This window comes from Homo sapiens, chromosome 11 (genome assembly GCF_000001405.40).
Source record: "Homo sapiens chromosome 11, GRCh38.p14 Primary Assembly".
In the NCBI taxonomy this organism is placed as follows: Eukaryota; Metazoa; Chordata; class Mammalia; order Primates; family Hominidae; genus Homo; species Homo sapiens.
This window is the reverse complement of record NC_000011.10, coordinates 98,074,947-98,092,624: the sequence shown is the minus strand read 5'-3', so window position 1 is coordinate 98,092,624 and position 17,678 is coordinate 98,074,947. Positions and strand designations below refer to the sequence as shown.

At 36.5% G+C, this 17,678-nt stretch overlaps 1 annotated feature.

Annotated features, from left to right (window-relative positions):
• Positions 11,514 to 12,083: an enhancer, noted in NCBI's record as "NANOG hESC enhancer chr11:97951270-97951839 (GRCh37/hg19 assembly coordinates)". NCBI's record gives its function as "activates a minimal SCP1, AML or CMV promoter by ChIP-STARR-seq in naive H9 embryonic stem cells {active_cell/tissue: H9 hESC(naive)}" and the evidence as "EXISTENCE:reporter gene assay evidence [ECO:0000049][PMID:30033119]".

Sequence of the window (17,678 nt, the reverse complement as noted above, 5' to 3'; positions counted from 1 at the left end):
TATTGTTAATTCATATAGTTTTGCTTTCTCCGTTTTTTTTCACAGTATGAAATTAGAATGCCAAGAAATACCAGGTTTTTTTTTTCCATTTCCAAGGCAAGTAAACAAGTATTCATTCAGTTGACTTTATTCGTTAAAAGTTATCAATAGACTTTATGGCTTTGTCTAAATGTCACTAAAAGTACCATTTGACAGCTGTTCCCTAAGGACTAAGAAAATTTGGTCTAGAAATAGAATTTGGCAGTACTTTATGTGGATGATGCTCCAGGGGTTTTTTCACAGGCAAGCCTTTCAAAAAGTGCAGGGTTTCATTATTCCTTTTAAAAATTTGTATCATTATTATTTAACGTTTCTTTTGATTGGGAACAAAGCACCTCATGCGGTTAAAATCACTAAAAGCAAAATCCAAAGTATTTGGGTACATATCTTAAAGCATGCTACACTTAACTGTTCTGACAGGGCTGCTGACAACTAATATTGCTTCTATGCTCTTGTACTTCTGTCTTGCTGTTTCTGCTATTCCCTAATAAGGTCAGTATCCCAAACACTACCTGGGTATTGAAGAAGACCTATCAGAAATTATTGCTTTGGGTAACTGGTAAACCAGTGACAGCTTAGGAGGTGTCACACCATGATGCATCTGTCAGATTCTGGCAGAAGCATTGTTTTCAATAAACTCAGCTTCAGTCTGCTAATTCAAGTGCATTTCTACCACTGTGCTAGGAACAATGAGCTTTTCTTGTTTAATATTATTATTTGTAAATATTTTTCGATGCCTTAGTTTTAAAGTATTTCCTTACAAAATAATGACACAATTCTTTATCCAGAAATGTTTTACAGAATGATTTGGCCTTACTAGTCTTACTTTTCCAATAAGGAAACAGAGTAAGAAAATTAAATTACCACGGTTACAAAACTAGCAAATGCCAGAGCTGCTGCTGGACTTCCAGTTTCCTAGATTCTATTCCAGTTGTTCATTCCATTTATCAACCCAGGAGTTACTTCTCTAAGCCTCAAACTGGAAAAGAATCCTAAATTGTATGTCATAATACATTGTACATTTCCTTTATGTCACTTACCACAATTTTCTTTAAATACTTGTTTATATATTTCCTCCTCAATAGAAAATGGGCTTGAGAAGAATGTTTCTGTTCTGTCACCACTAGAAACATAACATCACTCAGTGGTATTTGTTGACTAGTATACAGCAGTAAGAAGGAGGCAGCCCAAAACATTTTTCTTGATATGATTTTAAGAACAGCTTTCTGCTTTGCTTCTCCAAATGGCATATCCACCAATCTGGCTAAAGTCCATCTGTCTCTCTGGCTCCTGTTTTGACATTCTGCTCACTCTCCCTTATCTGAGTCCTTTCTCTCACCCTACTTCCACTAGCTCTCCTTCATCCCCCTACACACACAGTCCTTAGCAACTATTTTTTCTAGCTTTTTCTTTGTGCGTGCCTGAACCAGCACTAAAACAACAGCAAATCAATTGCTCTCTTTATGCTGTCAATTCTTTCTGCCCAGAAGTGATAAATATAGTTACAGTCCAATTATCAACTTGTTCCTGTTTCCAAAGGAATTCACATGATAAAGTGGATGAGTAAAGGCTTTGTGGACAGGAAGATCTCTATGTACATTCTACATGTGCCTCTGGCCTCAATTCCCTCAAATAAAGTAAGAGTAATTATAGCTAACACACAGAGTTGGTAAGAACAGAATATATTGGGCTGAGCGTGGTGGCTCACGCCTGTAATCCCAGCACTTTGGGAGGCCGAGGCAGGTGGATCACGAGGTTAAGAGTTCAAGACCAGCCAGGCATGGTGGCTCACGCCTGTAATCCTAGCACTTTAGGAGGCCAAGGTGGGCAGATCATGAGGTCAGGAGATCGAGACCATCCTGCCTAACACGGTGAAACCCAGCCTCTACTAAAAATACAAAAAATTAGCCGGGCGTGGTGGTGGGCGCCTGTAGTCCCAGCTACTTGGGGGGCTGAGGCAGGAGAATGGCATGAACCTGGGGGGCTGATCTTGCAGTGAGCTGAGATTGCGCCACTGAACTCCAGCCTGGGCGACAGAGCGAGACTCCGTCTCAAAAAAAAAAAAAAAAAAAAAAAAAGAGTTGCGTTGAGACCAGCCTGGCCAACATGGTGAAACCCTGTCTCTACTAAGAATACAAATATTAGCCCGGTGTGGTGGCATGCGCCTGTAATCCCAGCTACTCGGGAGGCTGAGGCAGGAGAATCGCTTGAACCTGGGAGGTGGAGGTTGCAGTGAGCCGAGATCGCACCACTGCACTCCAGTTTGGGCGACAGAGCAAGACTCTGTCTCGAAAAAAAAAAAAAAGAACAGTATATATCAAGCACCTGCTGTACAGTGTACAGCAGTTTATGTTCATCTTTTGTCTTCAACACTAAAAAATTACAGTCTCTTTTTCTAACAAAGTTACCGTTTACCCTTTAAATCTCCACACTCAGTCTTTTTAGACTTTTCATTTCCCTAGAATGTATTTCTACCATCAGTGCCATCTCAACTCTAAGCACTTGTCCCATGTGAACTGTGGCCATCTCTAATTATGTGGCCACTCCTTCACTTTGTTTTTCCATAACATTTATCCCCTGCTCATCTTCACTGAAAGCTGTTTTTTCCTTTTCCAGCATCACTTGTCATGCAGCCCTTCTAGTTGAGTCCCTCATTTTCCCAATGACCCAAAGTCATAGGCCATGGAGAAGGACTGGTTATTCTCCTTATCTTCATTTTCCATTCTTCTAAATAATCTCTCATATTTCTAAGACTACCATATTATATTTTGTCTTTTCCCTGATTTATTTCTAATTTGTACCAGTTTCAGTAGTACTCACTGTACAGACACATGTGATCCTGTATCACATGTCCTCATTTTAATGGCAACCACAGCTGCATTTTAAACTCAGACTTATCTCATGCTGCTAGCAACTGACGTCTTCTACACACGACAGACTATACTGGGCTCAATATGAGCACGGCCAGGCCATATAGAGGAGTTAGGTCCCCAGGAGCCCCCACAAATACTGAGGGATTAGAGCTAATAGAGAAATACTACAATGGTCCTTATCTCAAATGCGTAATTCTGGAAAGCATCCTAGATACTTCCTAGAGGTTGCCTGGATCAAGCCCCCATGGCTCACACAAATTATCTCAAAAATATTCTGATATTGGCTGGGTGCAGTGGCTCACGCCTGTAATCCCAGCACTTTGGAAGGCCGAGGTAGGCAGATCATGAGGTCAGGAGATTGAGACCATCCTGGCTAACACAGTGAAACCCTATCTCTACTAAAAATACAAATAATTAGCCGCATGTGTACTATGCGCCTGTAGTCACAGCTACTTGGGAGGCTGAGCCAGGAGAATCACTTGAACCTGGGAGGCGGAAGTTGCAGTGAACTGAGATCGCACCACTGTACTCCAGCCTGAGTGACAGAGTGACACGCCATCTCAAAAAATAAATAAATAAAATAAAATAAAATAAATTCTGATATTAAATCTTCCTACTTCTTCATCTCACTTTCCTTGTCTCCTCACTTTACCTTTTTGGAACCATATCTCAAATAAACTGCCTACACTCATGTTTGTGTATATAGGTTCTCCTATTGGGAGAATGCAAATTAAAACACACACACACCCTCAAGTATGTGAGCATGTGACACATTATCGCTATCCCTCTTTTGTCTCCTGTAACCTAATAACATGATCAAGTCCCCTATTTCTTCTCTATTTTTTTTTGCATCCTGAATAACTCCAGATGTCACTTTGTGTTAAAATATATTGAAGAAGTAGTTCTATGTTACAATTAGCTTCCTCACAAGCTGTCCATTCTTTATTCATGTAGAAAACAGTTATTTTCCTTGCTATTCTCTCAAACTGCTTCTTAAAATGTATCAAATATTCTATATGCCAAATTCTATAAGCCATTTTTCTCATTTTCTGTTCTTATTCTCCTTGACATTTCAGAGCTTTGATCACATAGCAAACGTCTAGTCATAGTGTCACAGATAGGAGAAATGACAGAAGAGGAAAATCAAAGAGAAAAGGAATGATCTTCTCAAAGTGATACATGGGTAGATATACCAAGCAATGATCTGGAATGTGCACAAGATTTACTAAAGCAATGTATTAGTCATTTTTGCAACTGCCAAAGCCCCTAACGGAAAAATAAAAACATGAAGTGGTAGGTGAGAAAGCTAAAACATTAAGTGAATGATAAAAGGTGAGCACATATGGATTTTTATAAAGGCTAAAGGCCACTTGAGGATTTGATATTTCTCAACAGAAATTAGCATGTCCCATGCAAATATTTCTGGCCTTCTTTGGTGCACACTACGAAGGAAGGGAGAAATTCAGTGTTGCACATTTGCCATGGTTGCTGAAAGCAATTTTCCCTTATTTGAAAACAAAAAAATTTAATGTAGAATTGGTGACAGAGTAAAGAGGAAAAATCAAGAATAGAATATTGTATATGGACTAGGCATTAACATGCACATAATAACAATTTTGTGAAATGAATAATAATATTGTACAGGGGGTTGGAGAGAGAGATGCAGCATGGATAACCTTGACCGAAAAGCTGAGAGCACCATTTTCAAATCTAATACTGTCTAAATTACCATGGACATTTCTCCCGTCAGTCTATTTTTATATAAGTGCAGGTCATTGTTTTACTTAAAAATTGTACTTTTATTGTTCACTTACCTTGCTAAAAATACTTATAAGCTCAGTAGAAATTGCAATCCTTTTAATATTGGAGTGTTTTCTTAGCCTTACATATTTGGCTTGCTTTTTCAAAATGCATGTTGCTTGATGTGCTTTTAGAGAGATTTGGCTTCACTGTGATTAGAACCATTACAAAGGTATGAAGCTCCGAAAACAGGTTCATAATAGAAATCTTGACGTAACCTTAACTATAGGTGACACTGAAATAAATAGTGTCTCTGCTCTGGCTCTGAAGCTGCTTAGTTAAGTGGAAAATGGCTGTGTTTGCTGGGTGTGCAATCACATGAAAGAGTTCAGCAAATTGTTGAGAATGCTCTGCTACCAAGTGCTTGTGCACATGCACCATTTATGCAGGAATAGACATATTTACATTTGAGATTAACTTGCTGATTCTGTGCTTACATTTATAAGACAAGCTTTGAAATATAATGTTTAATTTACATTTCTACTGTAACAGAGTGGGACCTTATTGTATCCAAGGCAAGAGACATGTAGTATATTTTCCTCCTTAAAAGAAAAAATATGAATTTTGTCCACCCAAGTACAGAGTCCACCTATTTCGCAAAATCTTATCAACAAGATTTTCCCATTGTCATCTAATAGTTGAATCTCAATGTTACTGTCATCCTCAAACTCCAAGGCATTTTTAGAAGAACAAGGAGTACATGTCTTAGGAGTGGACTTCAGTAAACACTGAGGTTCATGTCTTACTAAATGCATATAACTTACAAAATAATTGTTCCTTTTCAAAGAATTGCATGGGCAAAAAGTACTTTGGTTTTACTAATGATCCAATATTTACAGGACATCTTCACATGATTAAAATGCAGCACAAATAATTGGGATTCTTAGAGTAGGAAAGTCCAATTTTAGCATATTTTAACCCAATTTTTATTTAGAGAATTTTCTGTTTTGTAGCTTAAGACTTATCTGATGTATGCTCTGCTGGTATTTTCTTTACTGTTGGATTACCCTTCATTTATTAAGTCTCTAAGACAATGTTCAACGCTTCATTTGCTATTTTGTTAACTTTTGGACATTCTGATACATGCGTGAATATCTTCTAAATTGTAAAATGATGTATAAATACAAGCAGTTATTAAAATCATATACAGTTATGGTCCTTATGACAAATAAAGGAAAGTTAAAGCTCGACTTTGGGTGATAAATACTTATTGAGGCCATGAGTACTCTGGTAAACACGAATTCTATGTTGAGATTTGTTTTCAAGTGTATAGAGTTCATTTATCCTGCTACTTTTTCAAGATCCATTATATTCTTCTTGCCTTACTCATTTTCTTACACAGTTTACATTTCATGGTATATTATTAAAATCAATTATTTGCAAATTCTTAACTCCCAAACTGTTCTGTGTTTATTGTACCAGTGCTCCTTACTCCCACTATTGTTAAAATGAACTACTGAGTACACCAAGTCTCTAATCATGGAGCTGAAAGCTGTCATGTTTTCCTTTGTGGACCCTGATCAATATACTTTCATGGGTCTTCTGCTCTCATCCTGTTTTCCTGCTACACATCTAAGAACTCTCTATTTCTTCAACATTTTTTCTTAGATTATATCATCCAATGTCTTCAAAGTATTTACTTTCTGTAGACCAACGACTCCCAGATTTTCTATCAATTTATGCCTTCTTGAATTCTTATATCCATTATATATCAGCAATTACTGAAGACATAAATAGGAGTCATTCTTGATTTTTAACTTTTTCTCACCACCCTGTTCAATTTTTTAGAAATTACCATTGAGGCCGGGCACGGTAGCCTCACAACTGTAATCCCAGCACTTTAGGAGGCCGAGGCGGGCAGATCACGAGGTCAGGAGATCGAGACCATCCTGGCTAACACAGTGAAACCTCGTCTCTGCTAAAAAATACAAAAAATTAGCCGAGCGTGGTGGCAGGTGCCTGTAATCCCAGCTACTCTGGAGGCTGAGGCAGGAGAATGGCGGGTACCCAGGAGGCGGAGCTTGCAGTGAGCCGACATCGTGCCACTGCACTCCAGCCTGGGCGACAAGAGAGAGAGACTCCATCTCAAAAAAAAAAAAAAAAAAAAAAGAAAAGAAAAAGAAAAAAAAGAAATTACCAATTAATGTACATTTCTTCTTCCCAATATTATCTCCTTTGGTGAAGCCTCCATGTTTGTTTTTTTTTTAATTTATACTACATTTAAACCATACAATTATTCTGTGTGCATTCATGCTTGCTTTCTTACAATATATTCGCCACAAAATAGCTATAGTCATCCTTTTGATCACTGCCCTAATTAACAATCTTCAAAGACTTCTAATAACACAGAGAGTAAACCCAAAATGCTTATAATGACCCCAAGACGTAAAAACAATAAGGATCAAGCATCTGGCTTCGCATCTGACTTACAAATAAAAGGCAAAGCCCTTACAGTGGCCTTCAGTCAGGGCCAGCAAACTGAAAAAGGCCAGCTGGTAATATTTCAGACTTTGTGGGCCATTCGGTCTCTGTTGCAACTACTCAACTCTGTTTCATAGCATGAAATCAGCCATGGACAATACATAATGAATAAGTATGGCTGTATCTTCATACAAGTTTATTTACTAAAACAGGTAGCAGGCTCCTACGTATAGTTTACTGATCCTGTACTAAAGTACTATATATACTGTGCTCCTCTAATACACATACACATAATGAATGGGTATGGCTGTATCTTCATACAAGTTTATTTACTAAAACAGGTAGCAGGCTCCTACGTATAGTTTACTGATCCTTTAGTGTGTGCATATATATATATATACACACACTAAATATATATATATAAAATATATATATACACTAAAGAAAATATATATACACTAAATATATATATAATATATAAATATAAATAAATACATATATACACACACACACACATAGGACTACATATATTGTGCTCCTCTAATACACACACACATACAGACACAACACAGGTGATGTTGTTTCTACTCTTCACCCCCTTGCTCACTCTACTGTAATGAGACTTATTTCCATGTTGTTTCTAAAATATGCCAACCACACTCCTGACTCAGGTCCTTTGCCAGGGTTTTCTCTGCTGTCCTTTTCTGGAATATCAGCAAGGTTTTAATCTTTCCATTCCTTTTTATCTCTTCTTATCTCCTCATTGAAGCTTGTTTGATCATCCTATTTTAAGTAGCAAACTCACTGCCTTAGCTTGACACTGCTATTCCACTTCCCTATTTGTTTTACCCATAATGAATAAAGAAACATTTGAAACAATTTAGATTTTACATGTTTAGATTTTACATGTTTGTTTATTGAGCCTCTCCCTGCATTATGAAAGCAGAGGTTTTGGTCTATTTTCTTTTCTGCTGCATTTTAATATCCCAGAACAGTGACTACAATATAGAAGATATTCAATTGATATTTATTTACCCCTTTTTAATTATAAAGCTTTGATTTGGAAAAAGAAGAAGATCTAAGATTTTTGAAATATATGTGGTATAAAGTACTTCAATAGAAGTTGACATATTTAGCTTCTGGTAACAGTGAGAAATTACAAGGGAAAAAGAAAAACAATACAGAATATAAACCTGTCTATCACGTAAACTTTGAAGTCACCCATATTTGATCCCCATTCATTTCTGTTTTCCTTCCCAGAAAAGGATACATAACTACTGATGGAGAATCAGACTCCATCAATTGCCAAGAATTAAAGATTAGCATTTTGTGGTTGTTAATTCATATCATCCCTGTTCTTTTAAATATTCTTTAAATTTTCAATTGGTACCAATTATTTAATATTTCAAAAACTACAAGATAAAAAGTTAGAATATCTTATCTAACTTTGTTCCACTTTTTGGTGACAACTAATGTTACTAGCTTGATAGATAGGCTTCCACAACATTCTTCCTCATGGTTATAAATACTTGTTTTTTTCATAAATAGGACCAAAATATTTATATTTTCTATGAGTTGTCTTTTTGCTTAACCACGTGGGGTAGAAATCATTTCAGGATAGTACTTATAAATATATTCTATTATTTTACTTTTTTATTGAGTTCAGTATAATGAATGAACTGTATGTGTGCAACCATTTCTTTATAGATTTTTTTTACATTCAAACAAAATAGCAGAAATAAATACTTTTCAACATACATTGTCATTATGGTTATATGTTAATAATTCTTTGGCTTAGACTCGTAGAAGTAGAGTTGTTGAAGCAAAGGACTTATACATTTTAATAACCTGTCAAATTCTTCAAAAAGCTATTTTAATTTATAATCCCTATAATCACTATCAGTGTTATGAAAAAGCCTATGTTTTGACAACTCAGAATTTATACTTTTATTTGCTTATCTAAGGTATACAATTTTAATTTAACTTTAAATTTCCCTATTTCATTTTAGTTTCTCTGATTACTAAGGATATGAATAATCTTTCTTTACATTCATTTGTTTTAAATATTTTCCATGAATATCCTATTCTTACCCAAAGCCTATTTAATTTTATTGCTTTGTCTTTTTAAATGTTGATTTACATATATATGTTAAACATTAAAATATTGTCTATTATGAACAAAAACTTTTATTTGAGCATTAACTTTTTTATTTTGTTTATGATTTATTTTTCATGGAAAAGTTTTAATTTATGCAATATCCAATTTGTTCATCCTTTCCTATATGAATTCTGAATGGAACTTGGAATTTCAGGCCTCAACACTTCCTTACATCTCATTTCTTTTACTTTTAGTGTTGAACACAGGTGTATATAGAAAAAGTTTGACCTATAGATTTGTAAAAAGATAATTTATTTTATAAATTGGAGTTTCTTTACAACTTTTTTAAAGGATTTTGGCTTAAATTGGTAAATCATTACATATAAAATATATAAACTATCATAAACAGTTATTCTTTCATTTTCTGATTTTCAGCATATAATACAATATAAACCAGTAAAATAACACCTGGAAAACTCAGTTGTAAGAGCTTTGTAAACATGCATATTCTCAGGTTCACTTCCAAAGTATGGATTCAATAGTTTGGTAATTAAGTCTGGGAATACATTAGCAAGCACCCATGGTTATATTCTTAGATATTCTGATCTTTGAAAAATCTCACTTACGATTTTTATACAATTGTGATTATTAATGAGAATTCTATTAGTTTTTGTACAAGTAATACAAAGAAAATTGTATGAAATGTGTATTCAACATCCCAACGAAAATACAAAATAGTAACCAGGAAATAATTTATAAGCCAACTGCAAAACGTGTAAGTGTCAGAGACTGTTTTTCCATGTATGTAATAGTACATAGCACAGATGGGTTTGCTTTTGACATCTGTGAATAGAAACTAAAATTTTCCTCTTAGAAATATAGCTTGAACTTACAAAAAAAGCTTCCTGCTGACCTTGATATTATCATTCTGTCTATTTTCTGGCCTGTCTCCTAAAACATAAATAGATAAGAAAGCTAGAGAGATATATCCTACCAGAATCTTTATAACTTTTGTTTAGAGAGCATATGTGTAGGCATGTTCAGTTTTCCTTTACCTTGCCAAAGTACTACTGGGGACATTTCAGGGATATTTTGACAGATGCAAATTATTACACCAATGGTTATATATAGATTATGAGATGTAGAAGTAACTCCAGAAAACAGGTCCTGTGTTAGTCCTTTTTCACATTGTTAAAAATACTTGAGACTGGGTAACTTATAAAGAAACGAGGTTTAATTGGCTCACAGTTCCATAGGTAAGCATGGCAGTATCTGTTTGGCTTCTGGGGAGGCCTCAGGAAACTTAAAATCATGGCAGAAGGCAAAGGGGGAAGCAGGAACATCTTACATGACCAGAGTAGGAGGAAGAAAGAGAGGGTGAAACTGCCACATACTTTTAAACAACCAGACCTCAGCACTAGGGCAATGGTGCTAAACCATTAGAAACCACCCCCATTAGAAATCACCTCCCACCAGGCCCCACCTCCAGCTTTCAGGATCACATTTCAACATGAAATTTGGAAAGGGGCACAAATCCAAATCATATTATTCTGCTCCTGGCCCCTCCCAAATCCCACGTCCTTTACACCTTGCAATATAAAATCCTGCCTTCCAAACAGTCCCTGAAAGTCTTAACTCAGTCTAGCATTAACTCAAAAGTCCACAATCCAAAGTCTCATCTAAGACAAGGCAAGCTTCTTCTACCTCTGAGCCTGTAAAATAAAAAACAAGTTAGTTACTTCCAAGATACAATGGGGGTACAGGCACTGGGTAAATACTCCCATTCCAAAATGAAGCAGTCAGCCACAAAAAGGGGGGCTACATGACTCATGCAAGTCCAAAACCCAGCAGAGCAGTCATGCAATCTTAAAGCTCGAAAATAATCTTATTTGATTCCATATCTCACAACTAGAGCACACTGATGCAAAGGGTTGGCTCCCAAGGCCTTGGGCAGCTGTGCCTTTATGGCTTCTCTCAAGGGCTGGCATTGAGTGCTTACAGCTTTTCCAAGTACACAGTGCAAGCGTGTTGGTGGACTTACAATTCCAGGGTGTGGAGGATGGTGGCCCTCTTCTCACACCTCCATCACGCAGTGCTCCAGTTGGGACTCTGTGTGGGGATTCCAACCCCACATTTCCCCTCCACACTTCCCTAGTTGAGGTTCTCCATGAGGGCTCTGTGCTGTATCAGGCTTCTGCCTGAACATCCAAGCTTTTCCATACATCCTCTGAAATCTAGGTGGAGGCTCCCTAACCTCAACTCTTACACTCTGTGTACCCACAAACTTAACACCATGTGGAAGCCACCAAGGCTTACAGCTTGTACCCTCTGAAGCAGTGGCCCAAGCAGTACACGGGTCCCTTTGAACCATGGCTAGAACTGGAGTGATTGGGATGTGAGAATCAGCATACCAAGGCTGCACAGGGCTGTGGGGTCATCGTCCTGGCCCCCAAAACCATTCTTTCCTCCTATGTCTCCAGGCCTGTGATGGGAAGGGCTGCCTCAGAAGTCTCTGAAATGCCCTCCAGGCCTCTTCCTTATTGTCTTGCCTATCAGCACTTGCTTTCCTTTTAGTTATGCAAATTTCTGCAGCTGACTTGAATTGCTCCTGGAAAATGGGCTTTTATTTTCTATCACAGTGTTGGACTGCAAATTTTTCAAACTTTTACTCTCTGCTTTCCTTTTAAATATAAGTTCCAGTTTCAGGTCATTTCTTTGCTAATGCATATAAGATAAGCTTTTAGAAGCAGTTGGTCCACATACTGAATGCTGTGCTGCTTAGATATTTCTTCCATCAGATGCCCTAATTCATCACTCTCAAGTTTAAAGTTCCATAGGTCCCTAGAGTAGAGGCACAATGCTGCCAACCTCTTTGCTAACACATAACAAAAGTGACCTTCACTCCAGTTCCCAACAAATTCTTCATCTCCATCAGAGACGTCCTCAGGCTGAACTTCACTGTCAAAAACACTACCAGCATTTTGGTCACAACAATTTAACAGATCTCAAGGAAGTTCCAAACTTTCTCTCATTTTCCTGTCTTCTTCTGAGCCCTCCATACTCTTCAAACTTCTGCTCATTACCCAGTTCCAAAGTTGCTTCCATATTTTCAAGTATCTTTATAGGAATGCTCTACTTCTTGGTACCAATTTTCTGTATTAGTCAGTTCTTGCATTGCTATAAAGAACTACCTAAGACTGGGTAATTTATAAGGAAAAGAGGTTTAATTGGCTCACAGTTCCGCAGACTCTACAGAAAGCATGGCAGCATGTGCTTGGCTTTGGGAGAGGCCTTAGGAAACTTACAATCTTGGAAAAAGTTGAAAGAGAGGCAGGCACATCTTACATGGCCAGAGCAGGAGGAAGGAGCAGGGAGAGGTGCCACACATTTTTAAACAACCAGATCTCACAAGAACTCCAACACAAGAACAGTACTAGGGGGATGGTGTTAAACTATTAGAAACTTTCCCATGATTCAATCACCTCCCACCAGGCCTCACCTCCAGCACTGGGGATTACATTTCAGCAGGAGATTTGGGTGGGGACACAGATCCAAACCATATCAGATACTAAACTATTTTAAAATAATATCATTTGATTTTAAAATGTGTTTCTATTTTATGGGTCTAGAAAGCCACAGGAAAAAAAGGAATGTGAAACTCAAGAGATATTAGTATGACATATCATAAAGCATATCTGGAAATGAAACAGGATCTTCTTGAATGGGCTAATGGACCATACAGTGCAGCTTCATGTCTCTGGCACTGTCCAGTGTGAAAAAGAACAAGGCAATATAAAAAGTAAAGCAATTTTTAAAATAAAAACTATATCAAGGTTTTTGTTGTCATTTTTTTTTTGTAGCATGATTGTACTTAGTACTTAGCCAATTGATCTAGATTGGTGAAGGCACTATATAAATAGCAATCACTTTTGTAAATTACTGATACCTTATAGTCCACTTTTAGTTCTCACAATGATCCTATAATTTTGGTGTTTTTAACTCAAATTTGCAAACTAGAAACAGAAGCTGAAAGTAATTAAGCAACTAATTTAGTCTTTTATTTTTATTTTTTTACTTTTCATTTTTTTGAAACAGGGGCTTTCTCTCCCTGTCACTCAGGCTGGAGTGCAGGAGTACAATAATGGCTCTGAAGCCCTGGTCTCATGGTCTCAAGGTCTCTTCCTATCTCAGCCTCCCAAGTGGCTGGGACTATGGGCACACACCACCATGCTTGGCTTATTTTTTAATTTTTTTGTAGAGACAGAGTCTCACTATGGTTTTCCCAGACTGGTCTCAAATTGCTGGGCTCCAGCCATCCTCCCATCTTTCCCTAGCAAAGTGCTGGGATTGCAGGCATAAGCCACTGAGCCCAGCCCTAAACCAGTCTTTTAAATGCATGAATAACTATTCATATTATATCATGTCTGATTTTTAAACTAATTATTTATAGTAACACAGATACTTCTAAATATTATAGTCAATTCTATAAATTAAAATAGTATTCTCTTTACAGATTGTAAGCACTCATAGCTTTTATACATTTATTTATCTAATTTTCACAAATGATCCCTTTAATAAGCAATCTACAAATTAGGAAATACGTGTTAAATTTATTTCAAAGTATGATTCTTAAATCTTATCTTTTAATAAAATGAATATACCCCTCTGACCTTCGTAGATATGATATCTGTTGTCTCTAGGTTTTAGTTCCTAGTTTCTAAAGTAAGAAAATATATTAATCAATAGGCCATAAAAGCAATTCCTCATCTTAGACTTTTAGTCAAAATAAAATACAAGAAAGGAGAAAAATTTTTCTCATTTACAACATATTTTAAAATGTTATTGATTAGTCATAGAAAGAGTATTGTTATGCACATTTAACATTCCTAATGGGTTTTAAATTTTAGTTGCTTTATTAATTTTTTTTTTCTGAAGAACCCAACTTTAGCAATTGGAATATCATTGTTAACAAAAAGACTGAGAACTGCAGAGGAAAAAGAGAGAGCCCTATTTTCTATCAAGAAACAATCTGCAGATTAGGGAGACACAACCTCTAGTAGAAGTGAAAGTGTGCTCTCTAAGGAACTAAGGAAGGGTCTGGTTTAAATAGGGAAAGTTCTCACCCCAGTCCTCTATCAGGTCTGTTTATGCAAAAAAAAGTGATCGAACTTGTTTAATTCTGATTGGTCCAAAGTGTTTAGCCCTGATTGGGTGGTTTCCAAGCCCAAAACAAGAAGTCTCTGTCAGGTATTTCTTTGAAAGGCCATTGTTTGGGGATGGAGGGCGGTTATTCCAGCTACAGTTTATCATGGCACTCACAACCGGAACTGGTTTTACTTGATTGTAGAAAGGAAGGTCCTGTGCCACTTTTAAAATATCTTTCCTAGGACAGAGTATTTGATTGCTCCCACACCCAGCTTTGGCCACCAGATTCTGTTTTAATGTCAAGCACCTCAGTTAGCCACAGGGAGCCCATTTTGTCTGTTGGCCAGGGGCATACTTTAACATCGTGATAATTGTGCATTCTATTTAAACTTCATGAAGTTGTTTTGTTTGGATAAATAACATATTTAAAATAGAAAATGAAGTTATCTCACGCTCACACATATCCAATGACTGAAAGTTTTTTAAAAGAAAAGCTACAAGTTGAAATTTTCCACTATGCAAAAAAAAGAGAAATTATAACAAAATTTTATACTAACAACATTAAACACATTTGAACTTAGAATAGTAATGACAAAAATAATATGTAAAAGAGAAGGAAATGCCAATTTGGACTTAATGTTTTTAAACTGATGAAAGCAGGCAAACAAAATTGAGTCATTTAAAAATGCATGCCTTTCTGTCAAGATTTGAAGCAATGAAAGAAAATAAGAAATAAAAAAATACTGAGCAATTGCTTTCTAAATCATAAAAATAGTAAAGGAGAAAACATGCAAAGAGGCAAAATATGATTTTAAAAAAGTAACCACAAGCATAGAGAACTGGTATCTCATTATGAGAGGTGTTTCTGTCCTGAAATTAAGCCCTTTTACTAGTATTGTAGAATATATAAAAAAGGATGAAGAGAGACAAGTAAAACCACAGAAATTCTACATAGGGCACAAAGGATCTTTAAATCAGCCAGTCAATACATTCATACATGCATACTTACATTATACAAAATGGAATTATTATTTACTGAACACATTAGAAACCATCTATGTTGGTAGGATATTCATAGTTGCAGGGCTAATGGGAACAAATATTGGAGTCCTTTGCTCCTTATGGAGGGGATACACTTGTAAACTCCCCACAATTTAGGATGAGATTCTATAGGGTCTATACCGTAAGAGTAATGATGACCTAGGAAATAATCCAACTCTCTCAGAGACTGCAGCCCTGTGAGGGATCAATTCAATCCCTATAATAAATGACTCAAGGTCTGCTAATGCTTTTCTTTAATTGACTTGTGAATTTAAGGGAGTAAAAGGAAAACTAGTATGTTGTTAACATTATTTGATTATTATTGCTATGTATTGACAAGTATTCCTAGAAAAAGATGAGTTCAGGAACCATTAGACCACTTCTCAAACATAAAAAGCAGCACAGAAATCTAGCAAAGGCCAGAATTTGCAGAATTAGAAAATAGAACTGTTTCTCAACTCCAACTGGTAAAAGATAAACTATGAAGGCCTTGAGCAACAACAAAAAAACAATTAAAATTCAGCCTCAAGCACGAATCATATCAAGGTTATGTCTATTAAAACATTAAAAACAAACACCTACTAATGTTGCATTGATTCATCCCTTTCAATTAAACAAAATGGCTTAAGACTAACATATCTGTTAGAAGCTTCATAGGCTCAACATAACAGCATTTAAGCCCAGAGGGAAGAAAAAAATCTTATAAAGAATTATTGGTATGATTATCAGTACCTGTGGTAGATTGTAATCAAATAAATTTAAAGCCCACTATTGCTTTTGAAAAGTTTAACTGTTAAAATAACCAACATCCTAGACCAAAAGAATTTGTGACTGTTAAAAAATGTGAAATAACCCTTGGGGCACCCAGTTTCCTATGACCAGGAAACAGAGCGAAAGAGCTTCTCAGACTCTGGGGAAAGAAGAGTCTCCAAAATCAGATGTAGCCAATGAAGACAGTGGGAAAGAAAAGTACCTATAAGAGGATCAGAGCCAAGGGCCATGCAGAACATCATACTGAGGATTGTCTACCCTAGAACAGATCAAGGGTGGAGAAAAAGAAGCGGGGAGAGGGGAAGGAAGGTGGGGCAGATGGTGGGAGGGTGGAATCCTTCAGAATTTCAGAAATCTCTTCAGAATTTCAAACCAGATAGATAGATAGATAGATAGATAGATAGATAGATAGATAGATAGATAGATAAACAAAAGCAATTGTTTCAGTTCTTTTCTTCTGCCTGTTTGTCCAAGCCCGGTAATATTTTATCCAACCTGGATCCTGTTAGAAAGGAAAAAAGCCATAGGTTCACCAAGAGTTGAAATGAAATATGATAAATAAAGAAATGTTGTTGCTGTGTTATTGGGTTTGGAATGTAGTTGTTATCACACTGTAAACTCTAACTGATTACACCTGCAGTGCATCAACAACATGATTGATGTTTGAAATCTTGTACTGGATACTATTGGTGCTTTGTCAAGATTCCTTTAACTGTGGCAGTGCACCCATCTTCATGTTGCCTAGAATACTGCCTGCTCATATAGACCAGTTTCCTTCTTCTCCAAAGAACTTTCCTTGGTCAAATAGGAGCTGCCTAACTCTGGAGATTATGCTCCCACTTATCACAGTAAGCAGCCTGTGGCTGGTGATTGACAAACATACCTGTACTAAAAGCCCACTCCCTTGAAACAATAGGGGATTACATGTGCAAGTCATGCTCCAGATCTTTCCTATGAGATCCCACTAAAACTAGCCTGATACCTCCTAGACAATACCTGCTTAGCTTTTTACCCTCTACCCAATCTTCCTTCCCTCATTCCACACCCATTCTCCTTGAGAGCATTTCCTAAATCTTTGAAAAAAAATTCCCAGGTTAGATGCTTTTTTTTCTTTCTTTCTTTCTTTTTTTTTTTTTTTAGAAACCTGACCTAAGCTATAGAAATTATAGAAATTATTATCACTGGTGGTAGGGTAAGCAGGAAATTCTTGAAACTGCTCCCCATATCCAGTAATACAGAAAATAAAAAAGCAACATTGTATTCCAGGAGGAAGAGCAAAAATTTATGTCAATCTTAAAGACCAAAGGATGTAAGGGTGGTGGTTCCCATCAAATATTCATTTATTATACTTGTCTGACTTCTTCAAACTCCAAGAATGATCTAGAGAGATAACAGTGGACTACTGCAAACTCAACCAGGTAGTAAATTTATTTGCACTGCTTGGCAGATGTGGTATTTTTGTTACAGCAAATTAGCACAGCACCTGTCAC